Source organism: Homo sapiens, chromosome 6 (assembly GCF_000001405.40).
Source record: "Homo sapiens chromosome 6, GRCh38.p14 Primary Assembly".
Taxonomy (NCBI): domain Eukaryota; kingdom Metazoa; phylum Chordata; class Mammalia; order Primates; family Hominidae; genus Homo; species Homo sapiens.
In genome coordinates, this window is record NC_000006.12 from 91,628,253 (window position 1) to 91,653,814 (window position 25,562).

General features: G+C 36.2%; 1 long non-coding RNA gene across 1 annotated transcript in view; it reads right to left on the reverse strand.

Moving 5' to 3' along the window:
• Positions 1-787: 787 nt before the first annotated feature.
• CASC6 (cancer susceptibility 6) overlaps positions 788-25,562 on the reverse strand; it is a 61,389-nt gene continuing 36,614 nt past the window's right edge. The window contains exons 3-4 of the long non-coding RNA NR_104154.1: positions 5,429-5,583; positions 788-1,977 (exon numbers count right to left, since the gene is read on the reverse strand). This is a non-coding gene — a long non-coding RNA (cancer susceptibility 6). The remainder of the gene's footprint in view (positions 1,978-5,428; positions 5,584-25,562) is intronic.

Sequence of the window (25,562 nt, forward strand, 5' to 3'; positions counted from 1 at the left end):
CAACAAAAAGGCAGAGAAAAGGAGAATTCCCTTTCTCTCTCTCCCTCTGTCCTGAAAGTGGGAAACCCTTCTTCTTCTGCCCTTAGATATCAGAATGCCAAGCTCCTTTGGATGATGGAACTTGTACCAACAGCCCCCAGGTTCTCAGGCTTTCAGCCTGGGACTGAGAATTACACCATCTGTTTCCCTGGTTCTGAGGCTCTGGGACTTGGACTGAGCCATACTACCAATATCCCAGGGTTTCCAGATCTCAGATGGCCTGTCATGGGGCTTCTCAGCCTCCATGAGGGCTAATTCCCCTAATTAATTCCCTATCATATATCTTTATCTACATATATACTATCAGTTCTTTCTCTATAGAAAACCCTGAATAACACACCTGGCAAAACCATTTGTGAAAATATTGATTCCACTTACATTTCTTTGTAAGTGAGATTATTAGTACATGAAGCCACATAAACCACACAAAATCGAAATGAGATGTTAAGGATAACATGCATATGGTTTTTAAAAGCTGAATATAGCTTTTTGCTGACATTTTCTTTGGGGCAGAATTTACTTTGTCATATCTACAGAATTTTGATCTATTTTAATTTTTTTAGTAATGGGCTTTTAACTATATGTATAAATAGATTAGAGCAAGAAAGACATAAATCTTTGTAAAGATTTTTTTTCCATGTTATATCTTTACCACTTTTCAATTGAATAGTTTGGTACAACAGGTATAAAGATATGATTTATAAACTTAGCTAGGCACTCCAGAATGAACAGCAGTCTGGACCATTCACTTTTTCCAGAAAGCTTTATTTCTCATTATCCATGGAAGCTTGGAGACAATCCAAACTTCTTTGCACATTTGTATAACCCTGCCATGCCCCTCTTGATCGCAAACAGATGACTTTGATTTTGTTCCTTCACAGAGGGAAGTTTCCTTAACTTCTACCACCAAACCTGTGAACTAATATGCACCTGTAGATACACTCTTTTTTATTCTCTCTCTCCAGTTACAATTGATTGGCACAAATGACAAGAATACAAAGAAGGCAGTACTCTAGTTTTAACCAGGCTAGCGATGACACCTATGGGATTGCAGATCACCCAAACATAACTGTCCCTAAAAGCCTAAGTAGAGTTGAGCTATCCTACCAGCTGAGTCTCTTCACATTGGGACTGTTAAGGAAGAAAAAATGAAACTTCTTTGTCCTCTGAGTCAAGGTATTACAGGGTCTTTAAGTTACGGCAATTTAGCATTTATTCTCATGAATTCATGAAGGTTCTGTCACTCTTTCTGTATTGTCTTATTTACTGGTGAGGCTTCAATTATTTTCAATTGCTACTAATTTTTGTATCTCTCTCCAAGGCCCAGAGCTGCTTATCTTTTTCCCCCATTTCTTAAATACACCTTTTATTCTGGAATCATTTTAGATTTACAAAAACATTACAAAGAGTGCAGAAAGTCACCATCTGGCCTTGACCAGCATCCCATAATGCTAATATCTTACATAACCATAGTGCATTAGTCAAAACTAAGAAATTCACATTGATACAGTACCATTATCTATATATAAAGACCCTAGATTGCACCCCTTTTTTTCCCACAAATGTCCTTTCTCTGTTCCAGAATTGAATCCAGAGTCCTGCACTGCATTTGGGGTACTATTTATTTTATTTTATTTTATTTTACATTCCGGGATACATGTGCAACAGGCTTGTTACATAGGTAAATGTGTGCCATGGTGGTTTGCTGCACCTATCAACCAATCACCTAGGTATTAAGCCCAGTATACATTAGTTATTTTTTTCTGATGCTCTTCCTTCCCTCATACCCCCACTACCGCCAACAGGCTCCAGTGTGTGTTGTTCCCCTCCCTGGGTCCATGTGTTCTCATTGTTCAGCTCCCACAAACATGCAGTGTTTGGTTTTCTGTTCCTGTGTTAATTTTCCGAGGATAATGGCTTCCAGCTCCATCCATGTCCCTGCAAAGGACATGGTCTCATTACTTTTTATGGCTACATAGTATTCCATGTTGTATATGTACCACATTTTATTTATCCAATCTATTATTGATAGGCATTGGGTTGATTCCATGTCATTGCTATTGTAAATAGCAGAGCTGCATATCTTAATGTCCTACCGGATATTTGGATGGCCTATAGAAATTAACGTTCAACAAACCCAAGACTTTTAAATTTATTTCTTTTTAAACTTTTCTTTCTTCTCTGGTACGTATCTGAATGAGTGGCACCATTAGCTATCCAGTGGCGTAGCATAGGCATCTTAGAGTAACTTCCAATTTTCCTCTCTCATCCTTCTTACATTCAAATAAAAATCATATCTATTCTACCTCTTACAAAAGTCTTACAAATTCAATCACTTCTCTTTATGTTCCTTGCCAAGAATACAAGACACAGTCATCTTTTTCCGTGTTGCCACAATTGGCATATTGCTGCTTTCTCTCATTCAGTTTTGCTTCTCTAGTCCATATTCCACAGCACTCAAAGTGAGCTTTCTAGAATGCAAATCTAACTCTACTTAAAATCCTGCAAAGACTCTCCAGTGCTCTTCAATAGATTATATTTTAATGTGGCTTACAAGGTCCTGAATGAGGCCCTTGTTCTCCTTTCCAATTTCATCTATTATTCCTGTCTTCATCATATGCCATATTCTAGCTTTTCTGAGCTTTCTCCTGCAACCACATCTTCAAATGATCTATTACTTATTTTCAAATTAAACTCCTCCTTCATCAACTGGTCAATGCCTATACTTTTGCTTCAAGCCTTAACTTAGAGCCATTTTCTCTAGAAAGCCTTTCTTGATTCTTTCAAGCATGTGTTAGATGCTCCTCTTATGTGAGAGCACACTGTCCTCCCAGGAAATAGCACCAGTCATGTTGGATTATAATATCTCTTTACTGTACCATCTCTCACTTGGAGGGGACAAGATTTACCTTATTTATTATCATATGTCTCATATTGTGTCATTCCCATGTCTATTACAGTTACTAGCAAATAAAAATGAATTGTGCTTATTATTTGCTTGAATTTGTTTTAACACACTTCCTTGGGAAGAGTCTGTAGCTTTCTTTAAAGTCTCAGAAAGGTCCATGATCTCAAAATATCCAAGCACACTTTCACGCTTGCATTATGCTAACTGTCAAAACATCGTAAGTTACAGTCATTCAGATTCTGAGAGCATACCATGATAACCTCCCTTTTCCCAAGTACCTCTAGAAATGACACATTAAAATAAAAACAGATGGTTATCCCTTTCACATCAATACAATCAAATATGCAATATGACTTTTTCTTCAGCATGCACATGCATGCATGTGTACATGCCCACACACACACACACACACACACATGCACGCACACACACATACACACACCTTCTTTGGAACCACTCTTTGTATTATAGCTATGGACATGGAAATTGCCACAAAAAATCTGAGGGCTTTCAAAAATTCATGGTTCAAGAGCAAAAGAGAAAAATAACTATCAATATCAAAAATAACTTGATGAATTTGGCTTTGAGACAAAAGAGGACTGTGTTGATTTATTATTTTGTAGTTTTTATTTTCCCATAGACATGCAAGAAGTTGCAAAAATAATACAGAAATGTTTCATTTACCCGTAACCCAGCTTCCACAATGGTAACTTTTTGCATAACTGAATTATCAAAACCAGGAAATGAGTTACTTTTTATTAGTTTTCCTGATGGAAAATATTCTTTTTCATGACTGAGACTCTTACTTTCACTGCGTAAAGCTATCTAAAATTGGCCAATTCAAAAATCATTTGGATTGCATTTATTAAGCTCTTAATGTCCGTCAGAGAGTATATTTAGTATTTCATACTCTTCAAATTAATCCTGTGGGAAGATACTAATATTACCTCAATTTATAGACGATGAAGCTGAGGCATGAAGATAAGTTGAGTAACGTGCTTAGGATCACATGTGTAGGAAGTGTCAGGGCCAGGTTTATGAACGCAATTCTCTGCAGGCTACACCACCACACCTGCATAATAACTCACTTCAAAAAATACTTTCCATGTCTGGAAGAGTTAAGAATTGACTGACCAGCTCTCATTATGAATTAGATTAAATTGCTTACACGCTTGCTTGCATTCTTCTAAAACCTATCTGAAGATCATCTCCCCTGAGAAAAGAAAGGAAGTTGGGAAGGAAAAAAGAAAGAGATGATCACGTTGAGCAAGACTGGATGGAAGGTCAGAGGCACTGGCAGACAAGGCATTGGGAATAAATTGTTTCCATGGTCCCTGTGAATGACGTTCATGAAGAAAGACAGGAAAGTGGTAGAATACTAAAGACCAATATCAAGTAACTCAAAATATTGCACAAACAGGTTCTGGGCCCAGAGAGAAGAATTCAAGTCTCTTTATCATGCTTTTTCTTGCATTGCAGTTCCTCCTAAGCCTAGGATCCAGACTCAAGACATTCTATTAGCACTTTAATAATTCATTCCTGATTTTATGGGTCAATTTTAACACTGATTATTCTGGTCTTATAGGTTTTTAGACATAAAACATAAATATCCTGGAAAATCAAGCATTATGCATTATCTTGACAAAATTCTCAAATTATGTTTCAATTTTTTATATCTGATTATTTCACAGTGAGTCTGACCCATATCCCAGCCCACAACCTATATCTCTACACTTTGTCCTTTCTGCTACCATAAAGTGAGATTACTTAGATTTATTTGATATTTTCTCTAAATGTAGAAACAGATATCATATTTTTTTCTATGAAGATACATTTTGAAATACTAACAAATGCTTTCTGCATCACTTTGGGATTCAAACTGTTCAGAAGGTGGGTATTCCCTGTACTCTCTGGTTTGATTGTAAACACTTTATCCTTTAAACATCTTCTCTACAGAGTGGCTCCTGGCAAGGAAAACTCCATTGTTTCATGTTTAGGACAGGTTGTAGTGTACATCACGAGAGAAACTCCTCTTTCTTCCTGTTCTTGGCAGATGTCTTAATTAATCTTTCGTTTATATTAATGAAAGGTTAGGCTGCACCCAACTCTTTAAAAAAATCTTCACTAAAGTTAATAACCTTAGAGAGTTTGCAAAGCTGGTATGGAATTTACAGAACAAAGCTGTGAAGAGCCACAGGCCTTCTCTAATAAAGACATCTCTTGCTTCTACTGCATAGTTTTGCTTACACAGCTTTATAGACGTTCTCTGTCTTGAGGCTACTAAGCCCATTCAAATGCCCTATTTTTCTTCTAATTGCTTTTCTGCCACTGGCTTGTTATCACCATCTCTTTCTTTTCCCTTTCTCTCTCTCTCTCTCTCACTCTTTCTCTCACACACACACACACATATACGCATGCATGCACGCACACACGCACGCACACACACGCACACACACATACCTCTCCACTTTCAGTATTTACCTCCATCCCAACATGTCCATCTGCCTTAGGATATAGGAAACACTGCTCCTTAAAAAGCCAGCAGAACTGTATGTATCTGAACCTTCGTGCAACATTTATAGGCTCTGTCAGTTTCTCTTTCTCTTTTCTTTGTGTTCTGTGATATTCAGCACTTTCTGTAAAGAATGTAATGAAAAAAAAAAAGAAGATCAAAGGAGGTGCTTATCTCCACTGACATGTCCAAACAGGCACTCTGGCCCTCTCTAATATGCTCATCTAATTTGCTCCTGAGCCCAGGCCTGGAAGAAAAGCATCTTGAGAAAGTTTTCTTCCATGGGCTGAGCCATCTGCTAATGCGGGCCTGTGCCAGTAATTTACAAGTAATGGTTTACAGCTGTGAACCCTGGCTTCTGAGCTGTTTTGGTCATTTAGTAATTACAACAGTTTCATTAACATTTAAAGGGAATAGTCTGCTCAATATCAATTAGGGACTATCAGCAACTGTGTAGCTCCATTTTCATATTTGCATTTGACATTTAATATTCTGCACACATAAATTCTTGGTCTTGGAAATGCATTGCCACAGAAGGTCAAAATTAATCCAGAGCCCATTTCTACCTAGCTCTACTAAGCTTTAGGAAATATTTCTGCAGAGAGCAGGAACATAAAAGGTTATTTTGAGGCAGTTTTACACATCTGAACATTTAAGTACTTTTTCTTACCACTAAAGTTAAGGTTAAAGAGTTCTCCTCAATTCTTGTTATATCTCCTGTATTCTAGGGAAATTCCAAACTTATCTGATTCAGATTTGCATAGTATTAAGTAGAAAGATGACATCTATTACTGGCAAATCTTACATAACTGCAGTGATACTTAACTTTAATGTTTGAGGGTATGGGGGGGTGCTATGTATGGATTTCAACACTTAATAAATAGAACTAGACTATGACCAAAAAAAATTCTTCCTAAAATCATTTGCATCTGGATATAGGTCTTGATCTCTAATTAAATTGCTGAACAAAGTGGTAGTTATGCTAGGGCTTATCTCAGAAGAAACAAAAGCCCAATGATAATTTGAATTTCATGTGGCTGAGAATGGTCGTAGAATTTGATCCCTGCTGGTAAGTGATCTTGGTAAAAGACAGAGTGAGAAAGATGGAGCAAATTTTAAGTGAGTTAAAGGCCTTTTAGAGAGTTAAAAGTCAGAAGCTCCCATCAGGATGGAGAGGAGTGCTTTGAGATTATTTAGGTGCAGATTGTAGAGGATGTCAGTAAGAATGGTTTGAGTGGCAGAAGCTAAAAACAGTTTGAGCTAAAGTACTGGGGCTTCTTTTGACTCCTGGTTCGCAGGATCTGGCTGTGATAAGAGGTGAGTCACATAGCATGCACCATTCCTAAGAGTCAGAGGTAGGGAACAGGCCACTGAAAGAGGGAAGACTGAAAGAAGATTAATGAAGAGGATATTGAAAGAGACTCCCTTTCATCAGACTGGGACTTCTAATGTGTCAGAGTCTACACATTGCAATGCTTTAACAGGGTCTTATTTGCTTGAATTTTAAACCTATTCTCAATGTTGTGCTACTTAAGCAGATAGAGTGACCTTAGAAACACAGATAAAGTGAAAATCAGGGAAAAAAATCTATATGTTCTAGGGACTTGATGTTTGGAAAGAAGTCACACTCCCTGTCCTGCACACCCCCGCCCCCCGCCCCCCATCACCACTTCTACCACTACCAAGGCCTCAGCAAAGCATTTGTAAGGAGCTAGAAAGGAGTGGTGTCAGCCAGTTGAGAAATATCCTAGTCAGAACATTTAGATTATCTGGAATCATTATAATAAACAGTGCATGTAATCTACCAAAAAGGTATATTTTATAAACTACATTATTCATTGTCAGTTTTATTCAAGATATGCAAACGACATTGTTTCACATGGTCCTTGGCTTCTCCAGTACTTACTTACAATGGTGTCCCAGTGCTTATCAGACCAATCCAGAAGGCTTGTTCTATCATGTCAGACTCTCTGTGATTACCTTCATATCACTCTGCTTAGTGGGTTTATATGCATTTATAACTTTTCTTCCCAATTAGAGTATTAGCTTCCAGAAGGCAAGGTCAGAATCTTTACCTGGATATTCACCAGCTGGGACCTAGGAAATTATAACTAGATTTCAAAATGTGATCAGGTGGCAAAAGCGAGGAATTTTGATCAGGGAAACAAATAAAAATAAATAAATTGAGGCAATCTAGTGTCCAAGACTGGAGCTCAGGAGTATGCCTTTTGTTTCTAAAAAATCTAGAGTCCGGAATGCGGCAGAGTCCCAGACATAGGAGTTGGGGAACCAGGTTCCTAGGTAAACAGGAAGCTTGGGACCAGAAGGTGGGTGCCCCCATTTGCCAGTTTGTTAGACTAGCAACTTCCTCCATTGGCTCATGCTTATGGAAACGGGTACTTAGTGTCTCTGTTGGGACTACAGGCATTTGAATGTTCAGCAAGTGGCTGAAACCAGAGCCCACATGTGATACTGAGGAAAGAGATGTTTTCAAACTAGAAGAAATAAGAGGACTCAAGGACAGATGGGTAATAAATATCACAACAGAAGACTACATCTAGGTCCTTGGTAACCAGCAGGCTGGCCCCAATATCTTTAACAAAGCAAGAATAGGTAATAGATAGAAGTAGTGGGGGAGGTTATGATGAAAAGGCCCTACAGAAGCTAATAAAGATCCAATTCAGAAGTTTGAGTTGTGAAGAGTAGTTCCAAGATCCAGGAAGTGTAGTATTAAGTTATTGCAAGAGTAACAATGAGACTGTTTCTGAACCCATAGGAAGTGACCCATAAATTTTCTGTTTCTCATGCTAAGATGGGTCCACATCTTCAATAGAGCTGAATTTACAGGGTAGTGCCTTTGGCCATGGTAGCAGGAGACCCCAAATAATTTTAGTTATTGTATGTTTGATCAAATTGCAATCTTAAGCACAATTAACCAAACAAAATTTTAAAATTATGTAACATATACGAACTTGCATTTTCTCTCTGTATTAATCATGTTAACTGGGTAATATATAGGTATAAATATCTCAATAGTGTAACACAATAGCGACTGTCTTACTGATGTGTAGTCTAACCATTACTCAGTGTAGTCATATTCAGGGACCTGGCTCTTTCCAGCTTTGGCTCCACTCTTCTCTGCATTCAATGACTGGATATGAAGAGAAAAGAAAGAGTCAGTGAGTACTTAGGGTCAGGCCAGGAATCTGCCAGAACTCAGGAGCCTGGCCATAGCAAGTAGAGGCTGAGAAATGTAGTCTATCTGTGCACACAAGAGGGAGAAAGATGGGTTTAGTAAATGACTAACATACTCTTCCTTGAAATTACAGAATGTAAACTTGAGTAAAGAGTGGAAGAGAGATGGAAGAAACATGCACTGTATTTTAGAAATTTTATTTCAGGTAATACACCAGAGAATTACCTATTATAATGCTTTATTTCCAAATGGGGAGACTGAAGCTCTGAAAGTTAAATAGCTTTCTATTATACAGGTAGTAATTGTAGAGCTGAGGTTGAACCCGTGTCTTTCTGGTTTTTTTTTTTAAGAATTTATCAAAAGTCTTTGATTAGATTTATTATGACATAATAAGGAGAAAAATCAGATTCAGACAAACTTGACTCCATAGTGTGCATTTTCCACTCAGTTATTTGTGTTTCTGAATTAGTAATTTCACTGAAGCTGTGTCCTCAACTGTAAAATGCAAGTCATGATATTTGCAGATTTGTGTGATGTTTAAACAAATAATACACTGTTTCTAACATTTTCCTGAATATTTGAATTACCTGGAATGCTTAGAAGAAGTACAGATACCTCAACAGCTTCTTTCAAATTCTGATAGAATGGGTCTGGATTAAAGCCTGGGAAATTTTAATTTTAGCAAATGGGCTGAGATGGCTTTAGAAACAATGAGCTAATGTACACACAGTAGCACAGCCATTATCACCGAAGTTAGAGTTTAATGGCTGTTGTATTATTATTGAAGTTGCCAGCCTTGTTAATTATATTTCTAAATGGTATCTGCTCTGGAAGTCCCTATCTCTACTCACTCTCTATCAGTTAAGCTACACTTATTAGTTAATGTTGCCTCCTCTGGAGCAGCTTATTATCTACATTTCACTCAGACAATATTGAGTTGAGTTTTGAACTTCAGGTGAATTTTAGAACTGATTCTGAGCTCTTAGTTGCAAGCATCAGAAACCAGGTCTGGCTAAGTAAAAACTGTTTATTACTAGATAATGGGTAATTCAGAATCTCTTGGAGGGGACTAGAGAAGCAGGAATTTGTCTCATATTTCTCACCTCACAGTTCTGTGAAGGCTCTCATGTTTTTATGTTGCTGGGACCAAACACCACCCTTCACTGCTGATTCCCCCAAGACTGAATATCAGTTGCTGATGCCTTATGTTACCCATTCTTGCATCACTTGCATGTGTCTAAGCTGCAAGGAAAGCTGAAGAAATTACACTCCTGTTATCTCTACTCCTTTGCAACACATAAAGTGTGGAATTTCCCAAACAAGAAAAGGGATTCAAAAACCAGGTGATAAAAAGAGTGAGAATCATTGCCACACCACCCCCTCAGATGCCTACTGATCCTGGAGGCAGAATGAGGGGTACCCCAGAATTACAGACAGAGAAGCGCTGATGAAGATAAGCAGTAGGAAATGTGTGTTATAAATTTGAGAACTCAATGTGGGTGCCAATACCATAGATATTCAACATTTGTTTGCTGAAAAATTTGTATGAATGGATAGCTAAAGGAAGGAAGGAAGAAAAGAGGGGAAAGAGAAAAGGAAGGAAGAAAGATTTCTTCTCTAGTTCTCTTGTGACTTACATTCTACATTAAACATAATCTCAGAGGGACTGGATTCTTGCCTTACAACTAACTCTTCAGTAAATACCACTGGTTGGTATTTACTGATCCCTAATCTTCCTAGGGATCAACCAACACTAATTTCTCCCTGACAGGACTCCTGACAGTAATACTAGAGCTCCCTTATGCTGTCCCTGGCTAAAATAGGCTCTGATCCTATTTCCTCCTAACCCTAGGAACATGGCTTCTTCTTAAGCTTTTTACTCAGAAGACTGAGGCTGATCCATAGTTTCACTCATCCATACTTACCCTCTGTCCTAATGGGAGGTTTTAATCCTCCTATTGTTGCCTTAAGCTGAGGGTTCTAGAAACTATGTCATATTTTATTTAAATCTCTGGTGTCAATGTTTTGACAATAAAGTGAGACATTAAAACATATATCTTTCATCTGGGCGCGGTGGCTTATGCCTGTAATCCCAGCACTTTGGGAGGCCAAGGGGGGCAGATCACGAGGTCAGGAGGTCAAGAGCATCCTGGCTAACATGGCAAAACCCCATCTCTACTAAAAATACAAAAATTAGCTGGGTGTGTTGGTGCGTGCCTGTAATCCCAGCTACTCGGGAGGCTGAGACAGGAGAATTGCTTGAACCCAGGAGGCAGAGGTTTCTGTGAGCCGAGATTGTGCTACAGTACTCCAGCTTAGCGACAGAGTGAGAATCCGTCTCAAAACAACAACAACAAAAGCAACAAATAAAATATATGTCTTTTACCCCAAAAATGTTTTCTATATTTTGTATTTTCATGGTTTTAAGCCAAAATTTTTCTCTCCCAGATGGATTAAAAAAATATGCCTCAAGCTTACAGTGATGCCAGTGATATTGATATAGTTTAGATATGTGTCCCTGCCCAAATCTCATGTTGAAATGTAATCCCCATTGTTGAAGATGGGACCTGATGGGAGGTGTTTGGATCATGGGGACAGACCCTCATGAATGGTTTGGGCCATCCCCTTGGTGATAAGTGAGCTCTGTCTCTGAGTTCATACTAGATCTGGTCATTTAAAAGTGTATGACACTTTCCCCCACATTTTCTCTCTCTCTTGCTCCTGCTTTTGCCAAGTGACATGGCTGCACCCCCTTCACTTTCCACCATGATTTTAAGCTTTCTGGGGCCTCCCTAGAAGCTGAGCAGATGCCAGCATCATGCTTCCTGTATAGCCTGCAGAACCATGAGCTAATTAAACCTCTTTTCTTTAGAAATTACCCAGTCTCAGATATTTCTTTATAGCCATTCAAGAACAGCCTAATACAGGTATTAAACAACTATCAAAATTTTGAAATATGTTTGAAAATAAATTAAGAGTAAAATTAAAGGAAAGTGCACCTTTATTCAGATCTTCAAAAAGAACAGAGCCAGATTGCTACCCTGGAATAAAAATGATTCATTTAGGGAGTCAGGTGAGCAAATAATGATGAGAGGATTATTTGTCTAAGAACATTAGTCCACAAGAAAGACTGAGCATCCCATTATTCTTTCATTTCAATTTTTCCAACTTTTCTAATTTTACAAAGGGTGATGGCAGTTCAAAAATCCCAGACCCAAACCAATTACTTTGGGGGAAAAAATATTTAAAAATCAGATGGCATACAGTAAATCTTATAATCTAAGTTGAAAATACAGCCTAAGATGCTGGTAATTTTCATTTTCTAGTGATCCTTGCCACCATCAAATAAAACACATTCTTCAGTGTGGGTACGAATTATACAAATTATGTGAATTGGAAGGTTTATGTAGATATTGTTATTACCCGAAAGGTTGCACTTTAATTATCATTCACTTTGGAGTGAAGTTTTTTGAAAGGCCAATAAAAGGACTGTTTTACCCTTTATCACAATAGAAAGTATATTAACAGACCTAAAATATAGCCTAATTTTTCAAATATCTGGTGTGTTAACATGTCAACATTTAGTGGGAGTTTTATTTTGAGGTGGTCAACTATTAGACATTCCAGATTAATGTTTTTTTCTTTGTGTTATTTGACTTACCTTCATTCTCTCTATAGTCTTTTTATGTAATTAGTTGTACCTATTCATTTAAAAAGTAATATCAGGTTTCTGGGAAGATAGTGGAGTAGATAGTATTAGGAATCTGTCTGTACACCTAGACAAAAATTGAACTCAAAGAATCTGTCTGATGTAACTATTTTGGAACTCCAGAGTCTATTGAAGGCTTGCTACTTCAAGAGAAGTTTCAGGGGAGGACTTCAACAGTAAATAGTGGCTAATTTTGGACATTTTTAGGTATTAAAACAGTAGTACTTAACCATCTTCCACCCCTCAGACACTTGGCAAGTAGCTACTAATGTGTTCCTGAAGCAGCTTGCACACAGGTTATAGGAGCAAGGGGTGGGAAAAAGGGACACTGTCTTCATAATATCTGAAATCTGTGATCTGATCACTGACAGCTGCTTCTGATCACACAGAAGCAAATAGGTAACAGGCATCATTGTTGCACCTCCCCCTATTCTTGCCAGTCCCTCCCTGTCTGGTTGAACTGATTTCTAGGAGATTTAAAAGGCTAACATATTTTTTTTCTCCTTTATTTTTCTCTTTTTCCTTTTTCAACAGCTAGACACTGAATATTAGGAAAATCAAAGGTGACGGCATATACAGGGAGATTAGAAAACTACTGCACATGCCTGGGGAGGGGGCAGGCTCACAAAAGACTTGAGAAGACCTGTTTACATCTCGAGCTAGTGCTTGGCACAGAGAAAGCCTATGATAATCAAATAAACAGGAACAAAAAAACAAAACCAAAAACAAAAATCCAAGAAACAAAAAACAGCAAACCCTAGGAAGGGGGAAAATCTGATCTCCACAGTTAACAGATTATTGGATTCAAATGTTCAGTTTTCAATAAAAAAATTACAAAATAAAACAAGAAACAGCAAAGTATGAACCGTTTAAAGAGAAAAACAAATAATAATCCAACAGAAACTGACCCTGAAAAAACCTGATGACAGATCTACTAGACAAAGACTTTAAAACAATTGTCTTAAATATGCTAAAAGAACAAAAGAAATATGTGGAAAAAGTCAAGAATATATCAACAAAATAGCAATATCAATAAAGAAATAGAAAACCTAAAAATACTAAAGAGAAATTTTAGAACTGAAAACTTCAGATTTGAGCAGGGAGAAGAATTAGTGAACTTAAAAACAAGATAATGAAAATTATCGAGACTTAGCAAGAGAAAGAAAGGAAATTGCGGAAAACTAACCAGTCAGGGGGACTTGTAGAACACCATTAAGTGAGCCAATATATGCATACGGTACTCCCACAAGAAGAACAGAGAGGAAAAGATGAGAAGAAACTATTTTAAAAAATATTGCCCCCAAACTTCCCAAATTTTATAAAAGACATGAATAAAAACAGCCAACAAGCTTAACAAACAATAAGTAGGATAAGCTCAAAGAGTGCCACCAAGACACATTATCAACAATCTGTTGAAAGCCAAAGACAAAAAGAGCATTTTGAAAGCAGCAAGAAAGAAGTAATTTGTCACATTGCAAGAAATCCTCAATGTCATTCTCATCAGATTTCTCCTCTGAAACTTTGTAGTCCAAAAGGTAGTTGGCCAATATATTGTAAGTGCTAAAGAACAGTAAAACTGTTCTTTAAAAATGAGGGAGAATTGCAGGATAAACAAAAGCTTAAGGAGTTTGTTCCAATTACACTGCTCTACAAGAAATACTAAAGAAACTCCTACAGGTTGAAATGAAAGAACACTAGAAAGAACTTCAAGATGTATGAAGAAATAAAGATCTCTGTAAAGGTAAATAAGTGGACAATTATGAAGCTAGTAGTATTGTAACAATAGTGTATAACTCAACATTTTTTATCATGATTTAAGAAACTAATATAGTTTTTTAAAAAAACCTTTATCTGCCTAAAAGCTAGTATTGTCGCAACTTCGTTTTATAACTCCACAATTTGCTTTATACATAAATTAATAAATTAATGCATTAAAAATTTTTAATTCATGTTTTGGGGCACATAAGCTATAAAGATATAATTTTGTGATACCAACAACTAAAGGAAATGGAGATGGAGTTCTTGGAGGAGCAGAGTTTTGTATATTATTGTGGTTAAACTGGTAAAAATTCAAATTAGAGTGTAATAACTTTAGCATGTTAAGTGTAATGCCCATGGTTACTACGAGGAAAATAGGTAAAAAGTATACACAGCAAAATAAATGAGAAAAAAATTTAAATTAAATGTTTCACTGCCAAAAAATTTAACCAAACACAGAAAAAGATAGTTATGCAGGAAATGAGGAACAAAATCTAGAAGGCATATAGAAAATAAGTAGTAAATGAGAGAAACAAGTTCTTTTGTATTAGTAATCCCTTTAATAGTTAATGGATTAAATTCCCCACTCAAATGACAGAGACTGGCAAAATGGAAAAAAGTACATGATGCAACTATGTGTATCTATGAGAGATACACTTTTTGAGTCAAAATACAAATAGATGTAAAGCAAAAAGGTATAAAATGATATTGCATACAGATTGTCTCCAAAAGAGAGTGAGACAGCTCTACTAATATCAAAGTAGAGTTTAAGTAAAAAAAATTACAAAAGACAAAAAGAACATTATGTATTCACAAAAGGCTGAGTACAGCAAGAATATATAATAATTATAAAAATTTATGCAGCTAATATCAGATCTTTAGGATATATGAAGCAAAAGTAGACAAAATTTAAGGGAGAAATAGACAGCTATTTAAAAGTTGGAGATAAATTATAAGTCAGTAAATTGGCTACCCTAGAGAAAATGTACAAATTCCTAAAAGCACAAACCTTAGGAAGACTAAATTATGAAGAAATGATAAATTTGAGTAGACCTATAGCATGTAAGGAGACTGAATCACTAATAAAAAATCTCCAAACAAAGAAAAGCCCTGGACCTGATCACTTCTGGTGAATCCTATCAAGCCTTTAAAGAATTAACATCAATCCTTCTTAAACTTTTCCCAAAAAATTGTAGAGGAGGGAACACCTTCAAACTCATTTTATGATGCCAGCATTAACCTCATATCAATGTCAGATAAAAACATTACAAGAAAAGAAAATTACAGGCCAATGTCCCTCACAAACATGATGAAAAATCCTCAACAAAATAATAGCAAACCAAATTCATCAGTATATTAAGAAAATTATACACCATAGCTAGGTGAGATATATTCCTGGAATGCAAGGATATTCTCACGTACAAAAATCAATTGATGTAATACACTATATTAACAGAATGAAGAGAGGAAAAAACATATTATTTCAAATAATGCAGGAAAAAAGCATTTGATCTAACCCCATTTCGTGATTAAAAAAAAATCAACTAGAAATATAAGAAAACTATCTCAACATAATAAAAGTAATATATGAAAAACCCACAGCAAACATCATATTCAATGCTTAAAGATGAAATGGATTTTTTCTAAGATCAGGAGCAAGGCAAGGTTACCCACTTTTACCACTTCTATTCAACATAGTATATTGGAAGTTCTAGTCAGAGCAATTAGGCAATAAAAAGAAATAAAGGCATTCAAATTGGGAAGGAAAAAGTAAAATTATTTCTTTTCATAGGTGACATGATTTATAAGTAGAAAATCTTGAAAAATTCTACAAAAAATGTTTGAAATAAAAAACTTGCAAAGTAGCAAGACATAAAGTCAACATGCACAAAATCAGTTGTATTCTTCCCAATGATCAATCCAAAAAGGAAATTAAGAAAAGAACTCCATTTACAAGAGCATCAAAAAGATAGTTAGGAATTAATAGTTAGGAATTAATGTAACCAAGGGGGTAAAAGCCTTGTCTGATTAAAACTACAAAGTATTGTTAAAAGATACTAAAGAAGACATCAATAAATGAAAAGATATTCCAAGTTTATGACTTGGAGGACTTAATATCGTTAAGATGTCAATACTATCCAAAGTGATTTACAGATCTAATGCAATACCTATCAAAATCCCAACATTGTTTTTTTGCAGAAATCGAAAAACTTATTGTAAAACTCATATGGCATCTTAAGGGACCCTGAATACTCAAAACAATGCTGAGAAAGAACAGAGATGTAGGACTTATCTTTCCTGATTTCAAAACTTACAAAGCTACATTAGTCAAGAGTGTGGCACTAGCATAAAGAACAATACATGGACTAATGGAATAGAATAAATAGCCCAGAAACAAATCCTCAAATATATGGTTAAATACTTTTTGACAAGGGTGCCAAGAACATTTAATGGAACTAAGTATTTTCAAGGGATGGTGCAGCAATAACTGGGTATCTACATGTGAAATACGAAGTTTGACACTTACCTAATACCATATATAAAAATTAACTAAAAGTGGACCAAAGATATAAATGTAAGGCCTAAAGCTATAACATTCTTAGAAAAAAGTTAGGGCAAAAGCTTCACAACATTGGATTTGGCTATGATTTTTTGCATATGACGCTAAAGGACAGAAAACAGAATAAAAAATATACATATTGGACTTTATAAGAATTTTTAATGATTATGCACCAAAAGAAAATATAAACAGAGTAAAAAGGCAACCCACAGAATGAAAGAATATTTGCAAATCGTATCTGTGATAAAGGATTAATATTCATAATATACAAAAACTGCTAAAACTCAACAGAAACAAACAACATGCTTCAAAAATGGGCAAAGAACTTTAACAGACATTTCTCCAAAGAAGATATACAAATGACCAATAAGCATATGAAAAGATATTCAACATCAATAATCAACAAGGAAATGAAAATAAAATTATTATGAGATATCACCTCATACTTATTAGGATGGCTACTATCATAAAAATAGAAAATAACAAGTGGCAAGAATGTGGAACAATTGGAAACCTTGTGCACTGTTGGTGAGCATGTAAAATGGTACAGCTTCTGTGGAAAAGAGTATGATGGTTCTTCAACAAATTAAAAATAGAATTACCATAAGATCCAACAATTCCATTTCTAGGTGTGTACCCCCAAAAAGTGAAATCAGAGTCTTGAAGCAATATTTGTACACCCTAGTTCATAGCAGTATTATTCACAATGGTTTAAACATGGAAGCGACCCAAGTGGTCATCAAGAGATGAACAGATAAGCAAAATCTGATGCTAACAGATAAGCAAAATGTATGTACAAGAGAATACTCGCCTTACAAAGGAAGAAAATTTTGACACATGCTACAACATGGATGAATCTGGAAGACACTATGTTAAGTGAAATAAGCCAGTCTCAAAAATAAAAATACTGTATGATTCCACATATGAAGTACTCGGAGTAGCTTAAATCATGGAGGCAGAAATGATGGCTGCCAGGACCTGTGGGGAGGGGAAATGGAAAGTTATTTTTTAATGGATATAGAGTTTCAGTTTTGCAAGATAAAACAAGTTTTGGATATGGATGTTGATGAAGATTGCACAATAATAGGAATGTATTTAACACTACTAAAATATACATTTAACAATGGTTAAGATAGTAAATTTTAAGGTACACGTATTTTCCCACACTAAAAAGCATTGGGGCAAAAATGATAGGAAGAAATGGTTGATGCTATTGCAAAGTAGGTTAAGGTCAGGATATTTTTCTTAAAGGTGGTTATGTCAGGGTCATGGACAAGCAGATGGCAGAGTAAAATTAGGTAAACAGAAAGCTTGTAATAAAGACATGTTTTCAAAGATACCAGAAGATTAAGGGAAACAAGTAGTGACGGTGAAACCTTCTAGGGCCAATAAACTGGGGGATCCATTACCATTATTCTATATAAGTGGCAAAGGGAGGAAGCAGTGACCAGAATCCAGAGACAATAGCTGGAGCTGAAGGCAGCTGGAGCAAAAATGCTGTGACCTTTGCTAAAAAAAAAAAAAAAAAAAAAAAAGCATCCAACCCAAGGCCAGGCAGAGAAGGAACCAGTGGAATAGAAACACAGACTCAATCTCCTCCTTCTTTACTTTCCTGCCAGTGTCTCCCACTGGACAACCCCAACCAGAAGTTAGAAGGTGAAGGAATGCAGTTGACACACTCCATAGAAGTCAGCCTCCTGGAGCATACAGCTATTGGAAACTGGATCTCTAGGGACAAATAGGACATATCTAGAAAAAAAATGATGGAGGCCTCTAGGAACTGAGGTCAGCCTCTGGCCAGCAGCCTGCAAGGAGCTGAGGCCCAGAGTTCAACAGCCCTGGGGAAACTGATGTGCCAACAGCCACGTGAGTTTGTAAGCAGATCATTCCCCAGTCAAGCCTCAGATGAAACACAGTACCAGCTGACACTTGGAATCTTTATGAGACCCTGAGGCACAGGATTCAGCTAAGTTGTGCCCAGATTCCTGACACAAACTAAGCTAATAAGTGTGTGTAATTTTAGCCAAAAAAAAAAAAAAAAAAGTAAAAGGAAGGAAGGAAGGAAGAAAGGAAGGAAGGAAGGAGCTAGTATAACCAAATTATTAAAAATAGGTAAATTAGAATAATGAGAAAAATAACCCTATGTTTTTCTCCTATAATATAATTTCTCTTTAACATTTTTATATTTCCTCTTAATCCTTTTTTCTCAATATATCCTTTGAAAATTATTTAAACATAATATTGACTAATTTTATATCATTGAGTTTCTTTTTAACCATTTTCCTTTTGTCCTTTTGTTCCTTTCCTTTTGTCCCACAAACTGTTAGAAATGATGGGCTGAAAATGTATAACAGTAATTGTCCATTCTGCTGACCCTTGGCTTATTACCTTTGAGAAAAGATTAATTTTTAGCAAGGCAGTAAAAGTTTTAGCTAAATTTTGTCATTAATTCTGGTTTTCTTTCATTTCCAATCATCCATGTGGACCAAAGTTAGCCACATTTTGATATAGAGAAGGTTCTGTGAGGAACTTTTTTTTCACCTTGCAGGAGTTTATTTTTAATAGGAGAGAGAACAAACATTGATATATTATAGCTGGGCCAATCTTTCAGGATGGGTTTGATCAAGTTGTGGTAACAAACAACCCTCGCCCCAAAATCTCGGTGGCTTAACAAAATAAAAGTGTGGTTTTTCTTCACTCAAAGTCCTCTGTGAGTCCAGAGCGGCAACCCTCAAAAGTTGACGGGGGCCCCTACAGTCTTTCGTCCCCAATATCTCAATACAAGCCCTCTTCCACAATCAACATCAAAGGGGAGGAAAGAGTTAGAGATTCAACTCTGGCAATTAAATACTTCAGGTTGAAGTATTCACTTTTTTTTCTATCATTTAAATAAACAAACAAGTGCCATGACCAGCGCTGACTACTGGGGGAGGGATGCCCAGAATGGAAAGAGTCCTGGAAATACTGTTAAGCAGCTGTAACACTGACCATAGTTTCTCATAGATATTGGTGGATTTCTATTGTTATCAATACCTTAAGACAAAGATGTATTTTTAGATTCTGGTGCTTTTATTATTTTATTGAAATCTAAGACGTCTCATATAAATCCAGGGTTTTGATTTTATTTCTTTAATCATGAAGATACAGATTTTTTCCATTTGTGGAGTTAAGTGTTATCACTGCAGGAAAGGAAATGAACACTTCATCTATTTCTCATAGAATCAATGGAAATGACTAAATATTTTCTGATGATTTTGAGAGTTAACAGCCACTTTCGCCCTCATCAAGATCAATACTGATGACACTGAGAAGGCAATTTTTCATTAAGTAAAGTCAATAAGGATGATACCAATATATATAAAATAGGAAAAGAAGACCTGCTGCACATTCTTTTGAAACTTACAATACATATAAACAAGATTTATGAGAACATAGCTAATCAAAATGGCTAGATATAAAATAGAGCTTAAAAAAACTTCAAGGTTAAAAACACTTATTTTATTTCTTTCTGTTTTAGAAAGTTCTATTACTTTTTTTTTTTTTTTTTTTTCCATAGCTTCTAGAAGCAGCACTCTTATGCTACGCTTTACCCAGGTTGTGGCTCATTAAACCCAATGTGTGCCTCAATCTATTGGATAACCAAAATTGACCAGATATCTTTTGAAAACATAAATAATTTGGAGAGGCAGTGGTGGGTGTTTGAATTTGAAACTCCTGGTAAGGAATTGTAATTGGTGGTAATGTTGGACCATGTGCAAGAGGAGGAAGAAAAGAGACTGGTTAGGAGAATGAGGAGAATGAAGCAGATGTAGGGAGAAGCCAAATGAGGGGAGCTGTTGGGTGCTGAAGGATTTGTGTTAAGTAAACCCTGGGCTCTGCTGTATTGTGTTTCTCGAGCTTAGATGCCTGTGAGAATTATAATAACCTCTCTTATTTATGCTAGTTTGAGTAGGCTTCTTTTCTTCGCAAACAATAATTCTCAGTCACCATTTTTAGTAACTGTTCTAAATACATTGTTACAGAAAACACCATTATAAATCATCTTTCATTTGCACAGATTTGGTTAGCCTGAGAACATTGCATGGCTATCATGCCCCTAATCATAGTATTAGTAATAATAACCAGAGCTGTATCAAACATGTACTATGACAGTTGCATTTAAGCATGTTGCATGAATCATCTCATTTGATCCTTATTTCAACTCAAGGAAGTAGAAATTATCCTTAGCTGTTTGTTCCAATGTAACGATGAAGCACAGAGAGATTTATAAACTTGCTCAAGTTCATATAGCTAGCAAGTGGTGAAACCAAGACTTGAAAAGATGCTTATATACAGGGCATTTCATGCATTAGAACATGGAACACATACTGCTGGATTGCTAACTTTTTTACTCAGTTTCCGATTCATAAGACTCTATGATCTAGATATATATAATCATAAACATATATAGGGATGTTTATATCTCACTTTATGTATATGTATAAAAGTGTGGTTTTCATCACTCAAAGTCCTCTGTGAGTCCAGAGTGGCAACCCTCAAAAGTTGACGGGGACCCCTACAATCTTTCGTCCCCAGTATCTCAATACTAGCCCTCTTCCACAATCAACATCAAAGGGGAGAAAAGAGTTAGAGATTCAACACTGACAATTAAATATTTCAGGCTGAAATATTAACTTTTTTTCTATCATTTAAATAAACAAAGCAAGTTCCATGACCAGTCTTGACTACAAGGGGAAGGATGCCCAGAATGGAAAGAGTCCTGGAAATATTATTAAGCAGCTGTAACACTGACCGTAGTTTCTCATAGATATTGGTGAATTTCTATTGTTATCAATACCTTAAGACATAGATGTATTTTTAGATTCTGGTGCTTTTATTATTTTATTGAAATCTAAGACGTCTCATATAAATCCAGGGTTTTGATTTTATTTCTTTAATCATAAAGATTCAGAATTTTTTTTTTTTTTTGAGACAGTCTCTCTCTGTTGCCCAGGCTGGAGTGCAGTGGCATGATTTCGGCTCACTGCAGTCTCTGGCTCTCAGGCTCAGGTGATTCTCATGCCTCAGCCTCCCAAGTAGCTGAGATTGCAGGTGTGCACCACCATGCCCAGCTAATTTTTGTTTTTTAGTAGAGACAGGGTTTCGCCATGTGGCCAGACTGGTCTCGAACTCCTGGTTTTAAGTGATCCACCTGCCTCTTCCACCCAAAGTGTTGGTATTACAGGCATGAGCCACCATGCTTGGCCCTCTATGATATTTTTTAAAGGCCCTATTGTTAATTACTATTTTTATGTGAACTATATTGCTTGTCACTAAATTATAATATCTATCAAGCATCATTTTATGCTCACTTAATTTTTACTTATAAAAATGACCTTTTTAAAGGTTATCTAATGCTGATTTGTCTTTATATGATAAAATATTTTATAGAATATCATAAAATTTCGTGGGGCAAATGAGACTTATGCTTGCTTGTTGTTTTTTTTTAAAATAACAACTTTTACAATCTAGCCTATATTTTCATAGACCAGTCATAGGGTGACTGATTTTTTTCTAAATGATTACAATATTTGAACTTCTGTACTGTACAGCAGGAAAACAGAAACCAAAAGAAAATAAAACAAACTATAAGCAGAGAAGTGTTATATGCGACAGGCAATTTCCTGAAGATTTGAGCATCTTAGAAAAGTTCTTCAACTAAAACAAAGTATTACTTTCCTTATATCTTAGTTTTCTCTTGCCTCCTCTGTTATAATGCTTAAATTCTGCAAATAGTGACTCATTCTCTTGAATATTATACACTCTAGTCTTTAAGAATCTTCTTTAAAATTACAAAGTCCCATAAGGTGTGGCACTCCCTATAAACATTATCCATCTAGAATTGTAGGAATAGTAAGTTTTCTACAGTAAAAATCAGGTGGTCAGAACCAGCCTTATATGTCTGTCCTCCAGGATAATGAAAGGATAAAGAGTTATAAAGAATTATGGAAAAAGGAAGTGGGATGAAGGTGACAGCAGTTTTTAGGAAGCTTTATTTTATTTCTTTGCTTTTTGTTTATGCTAATTATACATATAGCAGACAGAGCTATGTTATTAGAGGCAGAGCTTGAAGACTGAAAGAGCCTATGTGTAGAGACAAGCTGGACTGGATTCCTGAATTGATTCTGGCTTGATCAATCACTGTGTGAGCAGGGGAAGCCATTTTAATCTATCTACACATTTTCCCTCTTGGATGAGATATCTATTGTAATGGAGTAAATTCATTACACAAGGTGTCTATTCTACCAATGAGCTGCACTGCTTCCATTGTAAGTGCTCTTTGTATACCTTTATACAGATGTACTTTTAAAAACAATTGTCAAGTGTTCAGTATGTGTTAGGACCTTTGCTCGGTGCTTTATATACATTATCAAATTTACTATGGAAAATAACCCTATAATGCAGATTCTATTTTTCTTGTATTCTATACAAGAGGAAGCCAAATACTTAAATGAAGTAAAGTTTTCTAAACTGCACAGGTAAAAATCCCAGAAACCAATTCCAGAACCTATAATCATAATCATCTTATTATATGGCAGCCCAACTGTGATATTTGTTTGTAAAATAATGTATTTTATATATGTTTATATCCTGGAAAGATTTAGTGAAAAGTGAATTGTTCATTGTGCAATGCATCCTGTCCATCTTGTATAAATGAATATGTATAAGATGGGAACAAAGAAATCTGATGGATTCCTTTTAAGCAAACTAGATAAAGATAGGTCTATGGCAAACAAAGTGACCACTCTGGGCGTTATAATCATCCCACTGCTGCTCACAGCCTAGAAAAGGATCTGAGACTTCCTGGGATTGCTCCTCATCAGCAGACCCGTTCCTAAGCTAGGCTAAGTAATTATGACCACTAGTCTTTCTGTACTATCTTAGAAACACTAGAAAACCATAATAATGCACTTCTGGGCCTACCACAAATTATTAAGTGCATCACCCTAAAATTGTAAATACGAAGGCCTTGCCTGTTATGAACATTAAATGAATGTCAAGCCCATGGCTCCGGGTTCTTAGAATATTCTACCTCTATCACTACAGTGGAAGTTAGGGAAAGAAGCCAGAACCTTTAGAATGGGTTAGGGGTGGAAGGAGCCTATCTGCTACTTACAGCAGGGGTCCTGTCAACCTGTGGTTGGATGCCTCAGGGTGCCCAAGGATGCCACACTTGAGTCTGACAGAAAAATAACAAACAGGAGGAAGATTCAATGTTCTTGGAAATAGCTTTATAAAAAAAAATTGATCGAGGACTGAGCAAGACTAAGAGACTGCAGATAATAAAAAGAGGTGCTCGTTTTTGGATTTCCTGGGTATTGCCAAAATATTTCAAATAGGGTCTCTGGAGCTCTGCTATCTGACCCTACAATCAGAGATCTCACCACTCTCATCTTTAGCAACATACACAGGTCGTTCTTTTATTATTATTATTATTATTATTATTATTATTATTATTATTATTATTATACTTTAAGTTTTAGGGTACATGTGCACAACGTGCAGGTTTGTTACATATGTATACATGTGCCATGTCGGTGTGCTGCACCCATTAACTCATCATTTAGCATTAGGTATATCTCCTAATGCTATCCCTCCCCACTTCCCCCACCCCACAACAGTCCCCTGTGTGTGATGTTCCCCTTCCTGTGTCCATGTGTTCTCATTGTTCAATTCCCACCTATGAGTGAGAACATGAGGTGTGTGGTTTTTTGTCCTTGCGATAGTTTGCTGAGAATGATGGTTTCCAGTTTCATCCATGTCCCTACAAAGGACATGAGCTCATCATTTTTTATGACTGCATAGTATTCCATGGTGTATATGTGCCACATTTTCTTAATCCAGTCTATCATTGTTGGACATTTAGGTTGGTTCCAAGTCTTTGCTATTGTGAATAGTGCCGCTCATCCTAAGTCACCTGTTCTGCAGGCTTCTTGTGATATTTAGAAATACCTTTTGTAATGGCCTAGAATTTACATACAAGTAGGTATTTAACAAATGTTTCATTCACATAGGTAACTTTCAGCAAAATGTAGGTTTGCTTTTACATTTATGTAGACCTTCAATTAAAAGTAAACTCATATCTTGTATGCTTTCACTTGCCCTCTTCAGAAGTAACTGTCATTCTTATTACATGTGGGAGAAACTGAGGTACAAGGAAACTGCTCAGTGTGACATACTGGGTCACTTTCACATGTAAACCAATTCTGCTAATTCGCTTTGCAAGGATAAGTGCTGGCATCACTTTATCTTCAACATATTAATGTATACAGCTGTCTAGCCATGTGGCAGATACTTTAGCCAAGAATAATACCCGGATTCTGCAATTTGAGCACCAATTATCAGGAGGTTAAAAGCACTGATTTATCCTGGTCCCTGGTCTCCCTCAAGCCGCGTACAGTGCTCTAATGATGAGCAATTGAGGAGCAGCGTCTTTTCTCATGTTCATTACTCTCCAACAAGATCTTAACTTGATAAGGCCATCCTGAAAAGGCTAGATCAGCTTTAGACAAGGTAGCAGGTGCATTTATCAACTGCTCATGTTTGCTGAGTCAGGGATTGCTGTGGTTTTTAACATTTTTTTTTCCTACTAAAGAAGTTACTTTTTTTGTTTTCATATTTAGGGGATTGCTATCTATTCATGACAGCATTTTCCATTATGGCACCTGAAGAAAGTGTTTAAACTTTTCTCCCAGTTTCTAAACTCAAGTCTTTTCAATAAATTGTATATATTATGCAATTCGATGCTAGATAATTGTCTTATTCCCTCACCCTCCAAAATACTAGCATATACCTAATTAATACAGGGATATTCCATAAATCATAGGTGCCAAGGAAAAA